Source organism: Homo sapiens, chromosome 21, assembly GCF_000001405.40.
Source record: "Homo sapiens chromosome 21, GRCh38.p14 Primary Assembly".
NCBI lineage: Eukaryota > Metazoa > Chordata > Mammalia > Primates > Hominidae > Homo > Homo sapiens.
The window spans coordinates 27,392,959-27,415,846 of NC_000021.9; the positions used below are offsets into that span (position 1 = coordinate 27,392,959).

The 22,888-nt window shown below is 35.9% G+C and overlaps 1 long non-coding RNA gene across 1 annotated transcript in view, besides 1 other annotated feature; it reads right to left on the bottom strand.

Moving 5' to 3' along the window:
• Positions 1-859: 859 nt before the first annotated feature.
• Positions 860-22,888, bottom strand: part of LOC105372762 (uncharacterized) — a 54,823-nt gene continuing 32,794 nt past the window's right edge. The window contains exons 2-3 of the long non-coding RNA XR_007067830.1: positions 6,574-6,616; positions 860-5,607 (exon numbers count right to left, since the gene is read on the bottom strand). This is a non-coding gene — a long non-coding RNA (uncharacterized LOC105372762). The remainder of the gene's footprint in view (positions 5,608-6,573; positions 6,617-22,888) is intronic.
• Positions 13,372-13,666: a silencer, noted in NCBI's record as "tiled region #7095; K562 Repressive non-DNase unmatched - State 24:Quies". NCBI's record gives its function as "represses a minimal TATA promoter and a strong SV40 promoter by Sharpr-MPRA in K562 cells {active_cell/tissue: K562}" and the evidence as "EXISTENCE:reporter gene assay evidence [ECO:0000049][PMID:27701403]".

Sequence of the window (22,888 nt, forward strand, 5' to 3'; positions counted from 1 at the left end):
ATAGTTATGTTTTAGTGAATTTCAGTATGAGGAAGCAAATTTTAAATGTCCTACTAAAACATCCTTTTATATATTAACCCCAATTTCTAAAGTAACATATGTTCAAGGTAAAAACATTTTGAGAATACTGAAATGTATAAGCTATAAGGTGAAATCCCATGATTTGGTACCCTAGAGCAAGTACAATTCACATATTGGTATATAATCTTTCAGGTTTACTTTTCTGTGTGTAGAATATCCTAGGCTGGGCACCGTGGCTCACGCCTGTAATCCCAGCACTTTGGGAGACTGAGGTGGGTGTGTCACCTGAGGTCAGGAATTCGAAACCAGCCTGACGAACATGGTGAAACCCAGTCTCTACTAAAAATACAAAATCAGCCGGGCATGGTGGTGCATGCCTGTAATCCCAGCTACTCAGGAGGCTGAGGCAGGAAAATAGCTTGAACCCGGGCGACAGAGGTTGCAGTGAGCTGAGATTGCGCCACTGTACTCCAGCCTGGGCAACAAGAGCGAAACCTCATTTAAAAACAAAAACAAAAACAAAAAAAAAAAAAAAAAAAAAAAAAAAAAGAAAGAAAAGAGAAGAAAAAGAAAAAAAAATCCTTACTCTTCCATAATATTAGATTAGGGATAGACATGCTAATACATTTTGTTCTCCCTTATAAGAGTAGTGAGTATACAATTATTACCAAAATAAAGTTCAAGTATAAAATGATTGTATTAGATTTCTAATGGAAAAAGTACATAGTATGCTTTGATTTTAATTCCAAATAAACTCAAAAAGGGAAGATGATTTGCATTTTTCTACAGAAAATATGTGTAATACACATAATTCTGTGATGCTGCTTTATGACCTATTAATTTAAAAATGTAAGTGTAAACAGTTGGCTTGTTTCAGAAATACAAGTGAGATTTTCCGTTAGCTCTTTCACTTTATGAGTTGTGGTTTAATATGATTACCGCACTGTAAACATCTGAGCTTACAAGACAGGGATGGAGTTGGCACATTACGTGAAAATGCTGCCATCCTACAGCATTTTTGTTAAACCTTTTTTGATGAAAATATTTTTCTTGGAGAGAGGAGATAGGTATGCTTTAGTGAGCTGCAGTAATAAGGAAAAAACTTTAAGTATCTTTTTATATATTAACAACTTAGAATGTTCCAAGTGAAATGTACATTTTTTCATTTATGTCTAAGTTTATATGACAGCAGAATTTCAGTACTTAGATATATATTTTTTCTGAGCCATTCAAGGAAAATATGAAACTTAATTTTTTTCCTTTGGCAAGTTATCTGGTCCATGCCAAAGGGTTTCCAACTGCAGAACCATGACTTGTTATTTGTTATGCAAGACTAAATGTGACTTCCTTGCTGCTTCTAAATTTATTCAGTCAAAGTTTCTTATGATCTACATGAACCATACAGAGAAGACAACCTACACTCCTTCAGGCAATTCATTCAATTCATCAAGAGAGAGAAATAAGGAGATTTAAATAAAGACTCTAGTGTAAATAATAACTACTATCATAAATAAGTTAATAGACTTTAAGCAAAAGTTAACATTTTACTTAGAGAGTGAAAGAAAATAGGCCATAAGATGGTCTGTGGAAGGTAAAAATAAACCAATTTTACTGACAGAACTATGGAATATTGATGTATTCATTGCTCTAAATGTGTCAGTTAATTCTCAGGAAGAAAGAACTAAGAAAAACTCAGGAAAACTATTTATAGCTCCAGATACCTATGTACTGATGGAAGAAAAATCTGAGTAATAAATCTAGTGAACAGGAACTTGAAAAGTGAACACAATAAAAGTATTTTGAAGGTATTAAATTATTATTAGGAGTCAGAATATAGGTGTTACTAACTCATTAAATCTTAAAAGTCTATTAGGTAGGCATACTATATAGTGGCAGAGTGTTTAACTCTTTTGCACAAAATCACACCGTTGGTAAGAGGCAAAGTTGGGATTCATATCCAGGCCAGCTGGCGTGACTCTCATCTCAAAATTTTGACTCTCATCTCAAAATTTCACTTTAGTACCTACTTACTTATTCAAGAAGGTAACTGAGATCTCAAATGAACACTAGAATATCTGGGTAGTCCTGACCCATGAAACATACCATCTTCACAGATTCATTCCATTCAGTGGGTTCAAACATCCATTCTATCTATTTCATTTTCAGAGGAAAACATATGCCATCCATGAAAGGTGTTAGTTAGAGAGAGGAACACACAGGCATGCAGCGATTTGCAAACAGCCTGTAATTTAGAGATTGAATTCTAGGTTTGATATTTATCCAGGCAGATGATTTTTTTAATTTGAAAAATGCCCATCCTTGCCATCTAAGCCACAAAGTAAGCTTATAATTATGAATGCTTTCAATTTCAGAAGCTGACGAAGGAACTTAACGAGTAGAATATGAAAATGAAAGCTTATCATGTGTTCAAAAGAAGCAAATCTAATTGAAATGAGGGGAGTTAGAATTATATCTTCAAAATATGCATGGGGATACAGCATATGAGCATAGCAGAGAAATTTTTATAAGATAAAATACAAAATTTAGGAGAACTTTATTTTTAGGAGAACTTTAAAAATATATATTTTTTATCATCCACAGCAAACGTCATCGTAATGAAGAGATCCCATCCTTCATGGTCACACTCACAGCAATATTTCATCTACTCCTCTCTCCTTCATCTGTTGTCTGTCTTTTCCGTGACTTTTCCTTCAACCTTCCTGTTTTTGAATGCATTTTGATGTTATCATATAGCATAATAGCTCTATGTCTCCTTCACTCTATATAAAGCTCTTCAGCAACGGGAAATTTGTCATGTTTATCATTATGCTCTTAATACTTAGCACAGTATCTGGAGCTCAACAAACATTTTTAAAGAGATTGCCTTATTGTAAGTAACAATGGGTATGTTGATCTATAATATGTTTTCTAGTGATGAAATTATTTAATTGCAGCTACCTAGAGTATTAAGAGAACTCATATAATTCATTTGTGTGGAAAATATGCAATGATGATAATGATGATATATTTAATTCTCATAGTTTGAACAGTACATCTCCATCTTCTGTGGCAATAGATCATGACGAAAGCATAGACTGAGTTTTTCATGGCCCAACAGGATGCAAAAGACAGACAATCAAACAAGCATTGAAGCCAAGCAGGATGGGAAATAAAATAAGAGAATCAAAAAGGTCTTATTTGGCATAATCATTACTTCAGTAGAATTTAGGAAGAACTGAGGTGGGATATTATTGGAAATCAAGTATTCTTATGAGGCAATTGTAATTGATCCTGATTTAAGAGTTCGGATGGCTAAACAAGAAGTGTAACTAAGGAAAAATCAAAGACCAAATCCCAGAAGCAGAGAATGTTAAAGGATAAAATTTAAAAAATCTAGAAAAGCCTGCTGACACATGATTTTGAATAATGGAATTCCAGGAGTTAGAGATTGGGACAATTGGCATAGTTATTTTAGATATTTGGAGGACAATAAAGAAAGATCCAGGGTTCACAACCAAAGGGAATATTTACTAAACAGGTAAGAGACCACTATGAATGTCGCTTTTGTTATAAACAGGTTTTTTAAATGACGTGATTTTAGCTTTGGAAACATAAACTTGTCAATAGCATTCAGGATGGATTCGAGGAAAAGCAAATACTGAATATGAAGAGGCCAGAGGTGATAGTTCTTGAAAATAATTAAAAGAACCTGAACTTTGGTATGCCTGAATTTTGGCACAGAGAATTACAAAGAAGAGAGAGATAATTAAGAATATTTGGGGAGTAACCAAAAGTACATTTTATAAGGCCATAAAAGCATTTACCCCAGATGATGCTATAATTAGAGATAGCATACAATGAACCTATGTTGTACTTAACAAGGTGTGATAATTAGAAAAGAGAGAGGCAAAATTAACCATACTCTCAAGGAAAAGCTTTATAAAACAATGAATATTTAGCTGTCTTGAAGGAAACACAAAACATAGATAGGTAAAGAGAATATGTGGAAGAATTTCCACATAAGGAGTCAAAGCATGGGCCAGTGTTCTAGAATCAATAGTTACTCATTCTGATTTTAAGCTGGCACGGTAGGATCCAGACTGATTGAAACTACATTAATACAGAGTAGTTGTAGGGGGAAAAAGTTGGGATAGATAAATGTTTCAGACATTATTAATCTGGAAACTACATAGATATACTTAAATGTAAAATGAACAGCATAAGGGAGGTTTGTAAGCTCTGAAACAAACAAGCAAATTAAAAAAAGACATTAGAAATCATTCTTATAAGAGTATCAGTGAAGAATTGGACTTAGGTTTCATGGCAGATTAAGGTTCCATTAGGAGGCAATTAGAAGACAATGGTATTGATTCGCTAAAGATGAAAAGACAAATGCAAGAAAAATACTGTCTTGGTGTCTTTTGACAGAGATAGGAGCAGGATTACCCGAAGATAGCCAAGTTAGCTGGGGGTGGTAAGCAAGCATGCAAGCAGATAAAGCACTTTGGAAGAGCAACTAGGTGAGTGCGCACATATTCCATTTGTGATGGTGAAAGAATATCCTATTTGTGTAAAGATCTTTTAAGCAGATAGAAATGAAAACTGAAACCTTAGTAAGTATTTGAGGCTAGAGAGTTAGGTTAGATAAGATAGTCCAACTTACTTGAGTGGGTGATTTTCATAAAAAGGAGGGAGTGGACAAAGACTAAAAGATCAAGAATGGATACTTGGAAGGCCATTACTACTATAGGTCAGGAAGAAGAAAAACCAACCAAGAAATTAAGTGATGATGATAATGATGATGATGTCATAATAGTAATATATGCCAGTTTTTGAGCAATTATTCTGAGCCAGTGACTACGATAAGATCTTTACATTAAATGCTCATAACACCATCTTTAAATAAAGAAGTAGAATTGATAGAATTCAGTAAAATGCCAAGGCAATGTCTCAGTTATCAAGAGAGGGCAGATTTTTAGGATGATCATCATCAGATCTTACTAAGACATCAAATGGATTAAAAAGTTCCTACGGTCTGGCTAAGGTAGGTACAACAAACTGGAAAGCCTGTTAAGGAAGAATAATGACATTAGAAAAGGCAGGTTAAGGGCCTCTCTGCTGTTCAGTTAAGGATAAGAGCCAAAAATGGCCCAAAAATTCATGTGGAAGAATGATGATTTTATGCTAACGTTGGCATGGTACTACTAAGAGTGTTTAAAGGATAAAGGATTACAAATGATTCCCAGCAGGCTGAACTCTTACACAAGTAATTCTATTCATAAATGTTCTTTACTGGTTCTCATAGAATCGAAAAATTAATAATATAGATTTTTCCAAAAAATAAATAGTAGTAAGAATAATACTTATCTATTATTCATTATAACAACCAAAGGGTTATATTAGCCTTGATACTAACAACCTTTCAAGTTAGATCTTATTACGTGATTTCATAGTTAATAAAATTGAGATCTGGACCGTTTAAGTAATTTGCCCAACTCACCTAGCTGTACGTACCAGAAACAGGCTTCCAGACCAGATATACAAAGTCCCATAGCACTCCTCATTCCCACTGTTCCACACTGCCTCCTGCAAAAGTTCGTATTTACTTCTCTGCTCGTTAAGATAGAGATAAAAGATAAATAATTTAAACCAACAAAGGCACTGTATATAATTCCCTTTTAACAGCTTTTTCATTAACTTGAGGTATTGGGGAACTGGGCTCAAATTAGTTGACAATTTAATGGTCTTAATCCCTCAAAGGTTTACTCAATTTATAAAGTTGGCAGAAACACGATTAATACCATTTGCCTTATGAAAACTATGGTTCCACAGTAAATAAACAAAGAATGTCACAAATGTGAGTTGTGCTCTGGAATAATAGGAAGATAGTTTAAGATGTGAAGAATGAGAGGTCACCATTATAGTAAACTATCTGCTGACAGATGATTGTTTTTATGTTTTTTGTAATTTCCACAAAATTTCCACCTGAGGTCATTTTTAATTTATACCACACATTATCTCTCTTGATCCACCTTTTTCTTAAGGTACACTATGCTAAGGTTTTGTTTTTATTATCCCACCCACATGCAGTTGGCCTACACAAACACACACACGCCCGGCCTGGGTTTTCTCCCAACACAAATACCCGTGGTATTCATACTATGGGAAAAAGAGTAGCTTGGTTAAAAGTTGATGTAGAAGTTTATTAATGTCCAAACCCAAACTTATTACATATTGTACAGGCAAATGCTACAAAATGATGAAGTTATGGAAGTAGAGTACTCAGAAGCTTAGAGGCCAAATATATATATTTTTATTTTGTCCAAAAAGAATATAAATATCATTGCCCCTAAACATGTGCATAATAGGAAACAAGGAAGGGCGTGACATCATTTGAAGAAAGTCAAGAATCACCTACACTCTTCCTTAAGTGTTTTTCTAATGGTGTGTTTTTTCACCTGAAAATACTACCTATAATTCTATTAATATGATTTTTTTTCTCTCATACATACACACACAGAACACAATCATATTAATGAAAAAGAATGTTACCTGTGAGTGAAGGGTATTCAGTCAGGAATGCCACCAGTTTTACCTTAAAAAACAAAGACATATATACAGAATGGTCAAGTATGAAACTTAGCTGTACAGAACCCAGACAAGAAGAAAGGTGGGTTTCACACTTAGGGAACTGCTGGTACATTCAGAACCAAAGAGAGCCTGCGAGGGGGAGCCCTGGGAAATAGGCGAGCTGAGAGGTAGGGAAAATCATGCATGTGCCAATGGATGTGAAAGATATTTAAACGGATAAAGAATGACAGCTACAAAGTGGCCCATTGACTCACAGGCACGTTTACAGGTGCCGAGCAACGTATCAGCTCTTCTTCCCATTTTGGGGACGCTGGTTGTGTTGTCATGCATGTTTTTGCTCAGCAACACCTCCCGCACCTCTGCTTACCAGTACATGACATTAAAATACATGCACTTTCACTTCTGAATTCCTTGTCCCCCAGCTGCAAGAATTTCATTTTGAGTGTATGTGGATTTTAAGTCATTCTGGTTGAGGATGATCACAAAAAGATGAAACTAGGAGATGGGGAGGGAAAAGGAAGACAAAACAGCAGGAAAAAACGCTTTGCCAAAGCAGCCACAGGAGAGATAAAAGAAGCCCAGCACTCACAATCTTGTCTGAGGAAGGCAGCTCAGACATATGTGAAAGGGACTGATAGTGCCAGACCATAGTTCTCTGCTGGCACGCAGTACCTTAGAACAGAAAGTTAAGCCCTGGGTCCTTGTGAACAGCAGAAGAGGGCTGACAAACACCTGGTCCCCAGTGGCAGACTGAACGCGTTAAAAATGGTTACATGCAACTTTTTTCCATCTGAAGTATTCAAATTGCACAGTCTCTCTCATAGAATTAAAAATCAAAGTCATCATCAGAAAGATATTAAGTGTTTGGATGGAAGATCAGACCCTGAGGAAAAGAAAGTGCTTCTTAGAGTCTTACACGCAAACTGTCTGCCACAGAGCGCAATTTATAAGTATCTCATTTCAACCACGGAAGGAAAGAACGAAGGGTAAAATGGAGATACATAAAATAATATTTATACTCTCTGGATCTAATATGTCATCTTTATAATTTTATTTTCATGAGTAATAAAAATCTTAAAAACAAACTTTTATTAACGAGGTTAACCTGAAAATTGTCTCTTCATCATCTTTCGTCCCATAAGGTAAGGATCACACGTTGGGGCGCCTTCCTGCCACAGCCAGGAAACCTCAGTAAATGACAGCTCTTAGTTATAAGGTGTTAGAGTGATGAGGATTGTGCTAAGTTTGAGAGCACATGCCCGGTTTTTTAAAATTCAATTTTCTTAAACCACTTGGTAAACCAAAGAAATAGGTCTGTGAGCCACAAGCTTTTCTCAGTCTGCCAGTTTTAACCTCTCAATGTCTTAAGTTCCTCAGCAGCAAACTGTCCTGCCACAGGGGCTTTTAAGTTAAAAAAAAAAAAAAAAAAAAAAAAGAAAAGAAAAGAGAAAAGCACTAAAATGGAAATACAAACAAAGCAAAACCTTCAACTTAAGAAAATATGTGTTTTCCTAGACTTGTGGCTTTCAAACTTCAATTTCTGCTGTTATTTCTTTTTTTGAACACTTTGTGCTGAGTTGTTTTTTTTTCTTTGTATTTGGTATGTGTTGATACTTCGACAGGAAGCTTATAAGGATGATATCCACTTTTGTGTGGTTTTATCAGAATGAATACTGGGGGAATAGAGGTATTCTACTTGTAGATTAAAAACACAACATGTACATACGTGAATATATAAAACATACGCAAACCCACAAACATATACACACATGCAGTCACAGATATACAAACGTACATGTATACACATAAATACATACACACACACATACATGTACACACACAGAGATTCAGAAACACATTTGAGAAGTCTGCCAGGCCTTCTGAAATGTATAAAGACTCCTGTGGGAGAATATTTTGGGCTCTCTGGCAAGGGTAGAGCAGAGTTTGTTTTTAGTATGGATCAGAGTCTGCCCAGAAATTACTCCATATTGCTGGCCCTGGTAACCCTTACCAACTTCCCTGCACCTCATTTTGACCTTGCCTGTAACTGAAAAACAAAAGCTGCTGCTTTTGTTACTCTTCTTTAAACTGAAATTTAAGGGAAACATGGCCCCGTTTCTTCCTGATCATTACGTCTCACACTTTCATTCTTGTTCCTCTGTCCTGGGTAGCAAGTATTTTTTTAAGTAGAAACTTCCTTCAAATGATTGGATATGCAGATGACTTTTCCGATCCTCAGCTGAGGTGGCCTAAACATAGATGTGTTCATTTGTCCTGTGTTATTTTATTACTTCTGCAAATTATATAAGTTGGGCAACATCTCCAAAATACTTAAGTATAACAAAACTAGAGCTAAGGTTTAGACTTAGCATTTCAGTAATTTTTTTTAATTGAATGAAGACACTGATTTTGTTTTATTTTCTTCTACTTTTATTATGTTTTAAACTTTTACTTTAGGTTCAGGGGTATGTGTGCAGGTTTGTTATATTGGTAAATTCATGTCACAGGTGTTTCTTGCATAGATTATTTTGTCACCTCAGTACTAAACCGAGTACCTACTAGTTACTTTTTCTGCTCCTCTCCCTCCTCCCAATCTCCACCATCAGGTAGGGCCCGGTGTCTGTTGTTCCCCTTTGTAAGACACTGATTTTAATGGCTATCAAACCATTAAGACTGTTGATATTAGAAAATTTTGTGAGGTTATTGAAAATAATTATATAAGTTGGGCAACAACTTATTGACTTTGTTCTGTACCATATAGGCAAGAAGAATTCTACAAGTGAAATTGTGGTTACAACTTTTAAACTATCTTAGATTAATTCTTGTGGTATGCAGAATCCTAAGATGGCCTCCAAAAATTCTGCCCCCTGTGTATATACCTTTTCTATCCCCTTCCTTAATTACAGAGGAAAGCTACACATATGATAGCTGTCACTGCCATGATTGTTATATAACAAAAGAGAAGCAGATTTGCACATACAATTATGGTTCCAAATCAGTTGGACTGAAGTAATCAAGGGGAGAATATTTAGCAGGCCTAATGAGACAAACCCTTTCAAAGTGGATCTGGATGTCAGAGACTGTCTCTCCTGCTGGTTTTGGAGTAGCAGGCCACCAAGAGTTAGGTAATCACACAGAAGTTAAATTTGCCAATGACTTTATGGCCTTCTAAACCTTAGATGAGACACCAGCCCCAGCCGACACCTTAATTTCAGCTTTGTGAGACCCTAAGCAGAAGACTCAATTAGGCCATTCCCAGGTTCCTAATCCACGGAAATAGTTAGACAATCTATGTATGTTCTTTTAAACTGCCAAATTCAAGATAATTTGTTATACAGCAAATGGAAACTAATACAACTCTCCTACTGAGTTTGCAAATACAGCAAAGCATAACCATTTAACAGTTAAATAATACTAAAGTAAATCATTCTAAAATTAATGATTTATACTTCTTGTATTAATAATTTTAATAATCAATATTAATTGGTTATTAAATATTATTACATATATAATAAGTAATATCAGTTCAATTCTTGCCGTATACCTAGTAAGACATGTCAAAACATTCTTTTTCAGTGTGACAGATTGATTGCTAAAGTTTTCCCATTTTTCTACTCTCTTGGTATCCATGCCCCAGGCAATTTAACTTTGTGTCTTTCATCAAGAGGTAGAATCTATTTGCTGTACTGGCGATGTGACTTGCTTTGGCCCATAGAATATGTTGGAAACGATGGTGTGCCAGTTTCAAGCCTAGGTCTTAGGGAAGCCTGCATGTCTCTGGTCTCTTGGGATTCTACCAAGACCTAAGAAAAACCTTAGGCTAGCTTGCTGTAGTATGAGACATGTGGACAAATCCTAATGGTTCCAACTATCCCAGACAGTCTGTGTTTAGCTAACTCTTCGCCTGATCACAGATGCTTGAGCAATCTCAGTTGGGAGCAGCTAAGCCTCACTAGCTCAGCAGACCTATTCAGTGAACCCATAGGTAAGTAAGAAACAAAAAAATGTTAGTTGTTTTAAGCTATTATGTTTTGGTGCAGTTTGTTGCTCAACAATATATTGGTTATAGCTAATACATACAATAAATAATGTTTATAATAAAAGCAAATACCATGATTGAATTTTATTTTGAATCTTTTTCATTTTTACAAAAGATAAAATAATAATTATACAGTATTTCCTGATACATTATAATTACTGTATAATATGTATAACTTTATCATATTTACTGTGAAATAATAAATTCAAAATATCAATTTCAATATATGTTTTACACACTCATTTTGTAGATGCTTTATGTGATTTATAAATGCAAATATAAAACTTCTGTCCTCACTAACTGCTAGCCACAGAGTCAATGACAGGGATATTAAAAGTTATAAAGGCTTATCAACAATATGATGCTTGGATGTGCGTCATTATAGTGTACTTCCGTATTTTTCAAGTTGTTCAGCCAGAGCGTGGAGATCTTCAGTAAGAAAACTCATTGTTCTTTGAAGACAACTTATTTTATCCTTGGATTGCTCTGTGCATTAAAAATGTTTTTCGTTATTTGGGCCAAACATTGTTGTCCTCTAATTTGTATGCACTGATCCTAGTTCTATCTGCTAGGGGGCTTAGGGCTCACGTAGGGCAGATTTAATTCCTGTTGCACCCAGGTTATGGTACTTTGTTATGGCAGCCATTAGGAAACTCATACACCAACTAACCCCATAATACCACTAATTTTGACTAAATATTCTAATGTAGCAAATACTTTGTTACCCAGAGCCATGCCTTCTATAGGCACTCGACTACAGGTATCTACAAATGATATTTTGGATAAATGTTTGCCACTGCATGCCGTGAACTACTAGTCCCCCTTTACCAATGGAAACAAGGTCATTATGCCTTTAATATGCTCAAAACAGAGAATCATAGCCAGAATATTCAGAACTAATTAAGGAGAGAACTTATCCTTAAGATTCTATTTCTCTAGGACCACTCTGGTACACAATTCTGTTTAAATCAAGTAAGAGAAAGGAAGAGAGAGGGAGAAATGTGTGTGTGTATATATTACATATATATACACACGTACATATATATGCATATACATACACACACACATACATACTTATACATAAATATATAATAGATTCTTTCAAATATATACATATATAATGTTATTACCAGAATTTGGTCTTGCACCTTTGGGGAAGTGGGTTACGCAGCCTCTATAAAGCTGTCATCTTGCAACTGATACTGGAGTTGAAGTCTACAGAGCCGAAAGTGAGGAAGGGAACATGCACGTAAGTTGGTGAAGTCAAGCGCAAGCTAGAACTCACAAGCACTAATTAGAACCTCATGAGGACAGACTGAAATTCACATTAGTTGTTTCTGCCTCTGACTCTAGTGACAAGTATATTCTGAAGAAGCTGGGCCTTTTTGTTGTGGAGATAAAGACAAAGACACACACACACACACACACACACACACGTCTGGCCTAAAAGTCAAAGAAGTGAAGGAAGACCTAGGGGAAGATAGAAGCTGCAGACAGCCATGGCTTCAAGTCAGTGAGATGAGTTAGCAGATCAGCAAAAGTCTCTATGAGCTGCGACATGTCTTCTCCTTTTCTTCCTTACTCCAAATAACCCTACAATCTTCATTTGTCCTGAAATTTCTATTTAATTCCACACTAAGTAGAAACACACACGAAAGGAAATTCTGGAATATGCAGTTCAAGTTCAGTCTAGCCAAGTTAACACATTACAAAGTCATCACAAGCATCAGGCTTTTTATGACCTAGCCTGGGGTGTCACAGTATAAACTTAGGGTGTTTGACTGACCTAGTCTATTGTCAATTCCACCTGTCTGTTCTTCACAGTCCCACCGGGAATAAAAAACCTCACATTTCATAAGGATAATTGTCAAATAATTTGTGGTCATATTTTAAGAGGTACACAGTAGATGTGTGTGTATGTGTGTTTGTGTGTGCATGTGTATGTGAGAGAGGGAAATCGACTGGCATAGAAAATATGGTAAAATGTTGAAAATTGGGGAATCTGGGTGCAGGAAGTAAGAAATATTATTTTTACTGCTTTTGCAGCTTTTTCATCATTTTAAATTCTTGAAAAGAACAACATGAGAGAATGGAGGTAGCAACCTAAGGAGAAGTAGATGTTTACTCACATGTATAAAGTTCATTATTTTTCATTATCATGTTTTAACAAATTATTTGAAGAGTTAATGAGAAAAAAACGAAGCATGTCTCTACTCTTTTTGTGTCAGATAGCTTCCCCACCTAAATGTCACTGGCTTGACAGTGCAAAAGAGAGTTGTACGGAACACGCATTTAATTTGAACCAGTAGATTAGCTTAGACGTTTAAATTATCTAGTTACTATAATAATTTACTATTTTTCTTCTAAACAGAAAAATATCAACTTTATATAGCCATATTTTCTAAACTTGAGGGTACATGAAAGGAATTTCTGCTAACCAGATGTTTTCTTCTTTGCATGTAAAGTGGGTCAGTTAAAATTTTGTTATCCAGCATTTCATGTTTTCCAAATAGGCTTGTTTCAGTGATTTGATGAAAATTTGCTAATTTGCCAAGATACATCTTTTTCTGAGTGCCAAAAGTTTTAATCTTTTTCTGATTGATTCTTGCTGTCACTCCTTCAGTTTCAGCATGAATGTCAGGGCCCCCTGAACTGCTTGCAGTCCTGCTCCACTTTCTCAGATAGTTTAGAATTACAGCTTCAGTCTAGGATTGAATGTGGTCATTTCAATCATTTTCCGTTCCCCGAAGAGACTATAATTCTCTTATAAAATGCTTATTAGGGAAGACATTGGGAATTCAGAACAATTTTATTTTCTGCTTATCTTCCAAGGGCCATGAGATCAGGATCCAGATGTTCTGACTCAGCCAAAGGCAGGACTGTTCCCTGGCAAAGGAAAAGTGAGATTATGCATGCAGGAAGCAAAGAGGACTGGGAATGCATATGCCTAAGTGATAGATATACCAGCATAGCCACTTCTAATATATTTACTGAGACAGAGAACATAAAGGCTTGTTAGAAGACTGAAGTGTCCTTTGACTGTAACCATTGTAAATGCAGTTGAAAAATAAAAGATTACATAACAAATTGAAACAAGTATAACAGGGTTATTGAGAAAATAGGTTATCTTGTTTCATACAGTTGGGAAGGTTCAAGTTAGAGTAGTAGCAGGGAAAGATTTTAAAAGCATCATTACACTTGCTATTAAACAGGAATCATCCTTGCTCTCCCTTCTTTGCTCATTTTTATACTCCCCAAGCATCCTCTTCCTGTTTCTACTATTTTTTTTTTCTGTCTTCCAACCAAATAAAATGCTATCTGAAAACAGCCGTTTTAAATCTATTTTTACTTCTTTTTCTTTGTTTCTCCACAGTTGCATTTGCTTACACTGAGAACATATTCCAAGAAGCAAAATAAATTCAGTTTGTGTTTTAATTTTTGAACAACAAATACAAACTACTATTAAAGCATTTGTCATCTTTTCTAGTTAAGTTCCTTCATGTCTCCTTCTTTGCCCATTCCAGCTCTCTATATACACGGTTCATCACATCATTCAGGCTTATACCCAAATGCCATTTCAGAAAGCATAACCTGTGCTACATGTTACCTGAAGCACGCTTCAATTTCAACTAACATGCTTCACTGAAATTTCAAAATAATGCTAAATATGATGTCATTTTAATGGCTTATAAGAAAAAGACTTTTGCACATGCATATGCAAAAGTCCATAAAGCAATATCTACGAGAAGTTTCCATCTTTAAATGAGACAGAGTGAAAAACAAAACAAGCAACTTTTGTCAGTAACCCTCAGCTTACTTGGAGACTTGCCAATTACTATAAGAATGCTGAGTTTTGTATTCCTAATTAGTGTGGAGCGTATTGTGCCTTGCTGTCAATTTCCACACAACGAATGGCTTACTGATTCTGACGCTTCCTTCAGCTGAGGGATTACTACTCATGAAGCTGACAAAGCTGTGAAAGATGGTGTTAGGCAAGTAAAGCTCAGCGGGCTTTTATGTTGAAAATTTTCTTGGAAGAATGCTAACTTCTATCAAAAAGTCCATGCCAGGCAGGATAGCTCTAGTGATTATATACATATACATATATATATACACACACACATTTATGTACACATACGCACACACATATATGTATATATATATGTGCATTTTATGTACATATATTTGCTATATAATACAGGTGATATATATAACACATTATATATTATATAAAATATGTATATATAAATAATATATATTATACATAATATTATACATCTCACCTATATTATATAGCAAATATATGTGATATATATATCTGATATATATGTATGTGATATATACATGCATATGATATATATGTATATCTTGTATACATATGTACATTTAATATATAATACAGTTAATATATACTTTATATATAATACCAGTGAAATAGTCAGTATATTGTATACTCTATATGTAATACCAGTGATATTATTAACCAGTCCTGGACGCAGTTAAATAGAGTAGGCTTGCAAACAATTTGCATGTCAGACTGAAATTAAACTTAAACCTCTGCCCCTTAACAAGCCATACTATTTCAAACTTTAAAAAGACTGTAAGGATCATCTAGTCTACTTGTCATCAGCTAGGGAACTCATCTCTTTTATGATGTTTTCAGTAGGTACCCAACCCATTTCTGCTTGTTGCAGTCTTTGCACTGTACGCTTAGGAGTCAGATACACTTGGCTTTACATGTTCACTGCAATTCTTAGCTCTGAGATCTGGGGAAACCTTCTGGGTCTGTTTTCCTCATTTAAATGAGGGTAATATTAGGCATTTCATGTGGTTCTGGGGATTCTGCAAGGTAATATATTTAACATTCCCATTATAGAGACCAGAACAATATTTGTTTAATAAATACGTTTCTTTATCCATTCCTTCCAGTTCTGGGAAGGTCATTAACTTCCCAATCAGTTTGTTCCACTGTTGAGCTGGAAGAGTTGTTAGAAAGTTCTTTCTTGTACTATAATCTGCCTTTCTGTTATTCTCATCTGTACTTTTCAGTTGTGGCTTTGAGCTTCCCAGAAGTAGTTTCTGTCTATTCCCATAAGTTAGTAGGTATTGTTTGAAGATGGTAGAATCACCCTATTTTTATCCAGAGTATATATTCTCAGTTACTTTTACTAATTTTCAATTGATATGGTTTCTGTACAGTTTAACTGTACAGTCTGTTAAAGCAAACTAAATATCACCTGAGAAGGACTCTGTACTTCTATATTTGAGTCGTTGTGGATGAACCATAACCTAGTTTAAGAGTCAGAGAAGATTAAAAACCTACCTTAGGAATATGTGCCTGTAACAATAGCTAAGTCCTGGCTAATCCCAGCCACCATACTTCAATTATTCACACATTGCTGAGTGTTTATTCTGTGTTCAGATAAGGCAAATGCCTAGCTGTAACCAGTCCAGGCATTCTGTAACTCACTTCTAATTTCTGTACATAATTTTTCTATTTTTGTCTATAAATCTTCTTCCACCACATGACTGTGGCTGTGCTGGAGTCTCTGTGAATCTGCTGCGATTTGGGGGCTGCTTAATTTGTGAATCATTCATTGCTCACTTAAACTCCCTTAAATTTAATTTGTCTGAAGTTTTTCTTTTATCAAGTCCTATCGTACTGGACAAAATTAAGTAGCTGAATGACCCAATCTCTTCTTCCTCAAACTATCCATATTCATCACTCGGAATTTCTGAACACTATATTTAAATTCATTATGATTTAACTATTTTTTAAATTACATTCAATTTCTAATCACATAAAACCTAGCGATTTTCATGGGAGAACCCACTGGAATTGTATTTTACGACTTCCTTGTCATTGTCACACAAACCCAAGCATGAGTCCTAAATCTAGCTCTATATTAGTCAGGGTTCTCTAGAGGGACAGGACTAATAAGATAGATGTATATATGAAGGAGAGTTTACTAAGGAGTATTGACTTACACGATCACAAGGTGAACTCTCACAATAGGCCATCTGCAAGCTGATGAGAAGGAAGCCAGCCTGTGTCCCAAAACCTCAAAAGTAGGGAAGCTGGTAGTGCAGCCTTCAGTCTGTGGTCAAAGGGCCAAGAGCCCTGGGCAAACCACTGGTGTAAGCCCAAGAGTCCAAAAGCTGAAGAACTTGGTGTCCAGTGTTTGAGGAGAGGAAACATCCAGCACAGGAGAAAGATGAAGGCTGGAAGACTTAGCCAGTCTAGTCCTTCCACCTTCCTCTGTCTGCTTTATCCTAGCCACGCTGGCAGCTGATTAGATGGTGCCCACCCAGACTGAGGGTTTGTCTGCCTCTCCCAGTCCACTGACTCAAATGTTAATCTCCTTTGGCAACACCGTCACAGACACACCTGGAACAATACTTTGCATCCTTCAATCCAATCAAATTGACACTCAGTAATAACCATCACAAGTCCACTCGTTGTCGACTTGAACCCATATACACCTCCTGAAATCAAACATAATCTTCAAATAAAGACAATAATACGGTCATAATTATGCCTAACATAATACAGCTATCCTTTGTACAACCAAAACGCATCGATCTCCAACCTAGATGCTATGACATAAAGTTAACAACACTTAAATTCTCATATGAAGTCAATAAATCTTATGTCACACGACAAAGAAAAAAGAAAGGAAATAAAACGAAGATATGTTAGTACAAGTGTATACATGCACAAACATGTTCTTAACAAAATAAGAAGGAAATACTCATTACAATTATAGTCTTCTTTTCTACAATTGGTCATGTGGTCATAGCTGGTATTGATGACTACCTTCTTCTACTACTCATTCTATATTCTGTTTGCCTTCAGCAAGCACCTCAGCAGTCATGGATTTTTACCTGGTGAAGTGACCCCAAACCTTCATTTCTAAAGAGTCTGGGCCATTTGTAGTCCTTCCCAGACTGGGCTGTTGTAGTTTCCCATTGACCTTAATCACACGGCTTGGTAATACTAAGAGATGCCCTAAGGGCTCGTGTATTCCACCCATACTCTTCCTTATCTCCATTGTGGAGTAGTAGACTTGCACAGCAGCCTGGACCTGTTGCAGAGCCTTCTCCTGTTCTGGACCCCACTCAAAGCTGGCAGCCTTTTGGGTCACTCGATAAATGGGCCAGAGTAATACACCCAAATGAGGAATGTGTTGCCTCCAAAATCCAAGTAGGCCCACTGGGCATTGTGCCTGTTTCTTGGTTGTAGGAGGGGCCAAAGGTAGCAAGTTATCCTTCACCTTAGAAGGCATATCTCAACAGGCCCCACACCACTGGACCCCTAGAAATTTTACTGAGGTAGAAGGTCCCTGAATTTTAGTCAGATTTATTTCCCATCCCCTGGCATTCAAATGTCTCACCCATAAGTACAGTGTGTTTTGCTACTTATCATTCACTGGATCCAATCAGCATAACGTCATCAATGCAATGGACCAGTGTGATATCTTGTGGAAGGGAAAAGCAATCAAGATCTCTGCAAACAAGATTATGGCACAAAGCTGGAGGGTTGATATACCCCTGAAGTAGGACAGTGACAGTTTATTGCTGGCTTTGCCAGCTGAAGGCAAATTACTTCCGGTGGGCCTTCTGGGCAGGAATGGAGAAAAAGGCATTTGCCAAATCAATGGCTACATACCAGGTACCAGAAGATGTGTTAATTTGCTCAAGCAATGAAACCACATCTGGTACAGCAGCTGCAACTGGAGTCGCATTTGGTTAAACTTATGATAATCCACTGTCATTCTCCAAGATCCATTTGTCTTCTGCACAGGCCAAATAGAAGATTTGAACAGGGAGTGGAATCACCTCTCCCGAGTCTTTCAAGTCCTTGAGGGTGGCACTAATCTCTGGCTTCCCTCCAGGGATGTGATATTGTTTTTGATTCACTCTTTTTTCTTTGTCATGTGACGTAAGATTTATTGACTTCATATGGCTGCTGTTGGTTTCCCATGTAATTAAAATGCCCTCTGGGTCAATAGAATCAAATATTTAAACCAATTAATGAAATAAATAATTATACACATCTATCACTGTATACAGTAAAATAAATATTATTTGCATTGTTCTTTAGTCAGTGAACAACGACCTCCTCTTTTCTTGAGTTGATATGAAAGTTGCAAGGTCGACAGTTAACTCATTAAAGAAAAAAAATCATAGAGATTAAGATAAGGGATAATTATATAGTTTTATGTGTATTTACCTGAAATGTTGTTAAATATTAACTACTCTTCTACGCTTTTTTTTTTTTTTTTGAGACGGAGTCTTATTCTCCCTCCCAGTCTGGAGTGCAGTGGCGCCATCTTGGCTCACTGCAAGCTCCACCTCCCGGGTTCATGCCATTCTCCTACCTCAGCCTCCCAAGTAGCTGGGACTACAGGCACCTACCACCATGCCTGGCTAATTTTTTGTATTTTTAGTAGAGAGGGGGTTTCACCGTGTTAGCCAGGATGGTCTCGATCTCTTGACCTCGTGATCCGCCCACCTCAGCCTCCCAAAGTGCTGAGATTACAGGTGTGAGCCAGCATGCCCGGCACTCTTCTACTCTTACATTAAGTCTACCTAGGTCTGCAGAAGGTATCAGTTACGATGCATTTTTAGTTATGATAATAAGTATAATATTAAAGGTGGAGTTTACATTTAAACTCAATACATATGCTAAATTATAAACTAATGGTAATTGTTTGAAAATTGAAACATTTAATCTCTAATACATTTATGTAATTAAGTATGAATAATAACTATGGAGTGGAGAGTGGTATGTATCTCTTAAAATAGAATTTTAATAATGATAGCATTGCTGGAAGTCCAATTTCTTCTTAAAAATTAGGCTTGTTCTAAGCAAGATTTGTCATTCTTTATAAATAGTATACAGGAGCTCAAGTGTAATACTTCTTAAACTTTGAAATGAAGATTAATATATGTTTGATAAAAAAAAACTTTGACTGCTTTAAACTTTTTCAAATTAAAATATCCTAGATGATTTATACTCCTGGAAACTGAAAGCTAGACAGACAATCAAAGATATATTTGTCTACCTGATCTAAAAATAGCCAACACCTTTTAAAATATAACAGAAGCTATTGTCAACAAGACCTAATTGCCTCATTCGTTTCCTTATTGACTTGATTCCCTGATGTTGTGTTACTCACTAGAAAGTTTAGTGCTATTCTATTCTCTGTTCCAATTTCATCTGAAAGGGAAGCATATTGGACAAATGTATGCCTTTTTTTTTTTTAATTTTTTGAGATGGAGTCTCGCTCTGCCACCCAGGCTAGAGTGCAGTGGCGCAATCTCAGCTCACTACAACCCCCGCCTTCCAGGGTTCAAGCAATTCTCCTGCCTCAGCCTCCTGAGTAGCTGGGATTACAGGCCATGCGCCACCACTCCCAGCTACTTTTTGTATTTTTAGTAGAGACAAGGTTTCACCATGTTGGTCAGGCTGGTCTTGAACTCTTTACCTCGTGATCCACCCGCCTTGTCCTCCCGAAGTGCTGGGATTACAAACGTGAGCCACTGTGTCCGGCCACCCATTCTGTTTAATTGGCCTTCTTATGGCTAAAGTGTTCATCCTCCTAGATTGGATGCTGTTAATTCCACAGAGTCCATTTGAGATAATGTGATCCTGACACTGACATTAAAATTTTGCATGCCATTAGTCACAGTGATTGTTCTGGAGGACATGGTATCCGATACAATGCAATGAGACTCAATTGCGAGTTTTTAGAGAACAACTGGGAAAAGAGAGTTGTCCTTTCTGCTAAGGGATGCTGTAAATATAAGGTATATTTCTGGGTCATTTTGCAAGGACATTATCACCAGAACTTGGAAGCCTGTAGGAAAAGAGAGAAAACAGAAAGGGTATCCAATGTAGAGTCAAGACATAGATAAAATTGAAGCTTGAAAGTTTTGGTTGACTCTCCCTCGGTACCAGCTATCTGGATAAATTCTACATTTTGCTTTTTGTTTTTGTTTCTTTTCTTAAGGTGGTTTGAGTTGAATTTTCTATTACATGTGACAATAAAAGGCTCAACATACATGTAACTCAACTTAGAAAACTTGGAATGACTTGTCCCAGTGATACTTGCTGGAAAATATGGCAATATTGTTCCAAGTCCAATTTATGCCAAAGCCTGGGACCTCTAAATATGACCACAGTTCACAGTCATGCAGTGACAGTTCTCTCTACTATGTATTTATTTACATTATGGACTGGTCCTTACACAGTCTTTTCTTTTAAGTGTCAACTTATTGTACTGCTACCTATTTCTCTCAAGTTCTCTTAACATTTGTTTTGTATATTTAAGTGCTCCATGAATGGGTGCACATATATTTACAATTGTTATATGCTCTTGAGATGAGCTGACCCCTTTATCATTATATAATGACTTTCTTTGTCTCTTGTGACAGTTTCCACTAAAAGTCTATTTTGTTTCAAATAAGCATAGCAATTAGTGCTCCCTTTTAGTTAGCATGTGAATGGAATATTTTTCCTTTCCTTCGCTTTCAGCTTATGTACACCCTTAAAGATACAGTGAGTCTCTTGTATGGTACATATAGTTAGATACTGTCTTTTCATTCATTTTAGTCACTCGGTATCTTCTGGTTAGAAAATATAATCCATTTACATTTAAATCAGTTATTTATTTCACTTACTATTGCCACTTTTTAAATTGTTTTCTGATTGCTTTTTAGTTTCTTTTCTTCTTTCCTCCTCTCTTGCTCTCCTTGTAATTTGAATTTTTTTTGTTGTTGTTTGCAGTGGTATGCTTTGATTCTTCTCTCTTTATCTTTCGCGTACCTACTACACATAATTTTTTCTTTGTGGTTACCTTGTTGCTTATGTAAAACTTTTTTTAGTTATAACAGTTTACTTTAAGCCAATAATAACTTTGGCTACATCTAAAAACTCTATATTTACCTTCTCTCACCACATTTTTTGTTATTAATATCACAATTTACATCTTTTTTATACTATGTATCCATTAACAAATTAGCATAAAGTTATTTTAATACTTTTGTCTTTTAACTTTTCTACTACAGTTAAAAGTGATTTTTACACCATCCTTGACACACTAGAATATTTTGAATTGGACTATATTCTTATCTTCACAGTGGGCTTTGTATTTTTACATATTCTCAAGTTGTTGGCTAACATCCTTTTATTTTAATTCGAGTAACTGCTTTTGTCATTTATTGTCAGGTAGTTGTGGTTGTAATGAAATCCCTCAGATTTTGTTTTGCTGAGAAGATCTTTTATCTCTCCATTCCTAAAGGTCATATTTGCAGAGTATGGTGGACGGATTGGCAGATTTTCTTTTTCTTTCAGTACTTTGAATAGATAATCTCACTCTCTCCTGGTTTCCAAAGTTTCTGCTGGAAAATTTGCTTATAGTCCTTATGAGGGGTTCCTTTACATGTGAAGAGTCACTTTTTCTTTCTCTGAGGAGTCAAAAATACAGTATGCTTTTACGACACTGTATTTTCGACTTTTGATAATTTGATTATAGTATATCTGGTGAAGATCTCTTTATATTCTACCTAACTGAGGTTCTTCAGGCTTCATGTATCTGGATGTTCATTTTCCTCTCCAGATTTGTGAAATTTTCTGTCATTGTTACTTTAAATAAATTTTCAGTCATTTTCTTTTTCTCTGTTACTTCTAGAATCTTCGTAATATATATATATTGTTTGCTTGATGTTCAGCTGTAACTTCTGTTGTCTTTCTTCACTATTTTTCATTCTTTTATCTTTCTGTGCTGCTGAATGGCAAATCTCAAATGACCTGTTGAGCTCCCTGATTTTTTCTTCTGTTTGATCAAGTACAAATGCTTCTCAAATTACAGTAGTTTGACTTACAATTTTTTGACTTTACAATGGTGTAACACCATCACAATTTTGTTATACTTTAAATTTTGAACTTTGATCTTTTTCCAGGCTAGCAGTAAGCGGTACATGAGATGTTCGGCACTTTATTATAAAATAGGCTTTGTGTTAGATGAGTTTCCCCAGCATGGGCTAATTTAAGTGTTCTGAACATAGTTAATATGGGCTAGACTAAACTGTGATTTTTGGTAGGCTAGGTGCATTAAATGCATCTTTTACTTACAATATTTTCAACTTACGAGTATACTGAATGTAACATTGTAAGTTGAGGAACATTTGGATGCTCTTGAAGCTTTCTAAGGGTTTTTTCTGTTCAGTTAT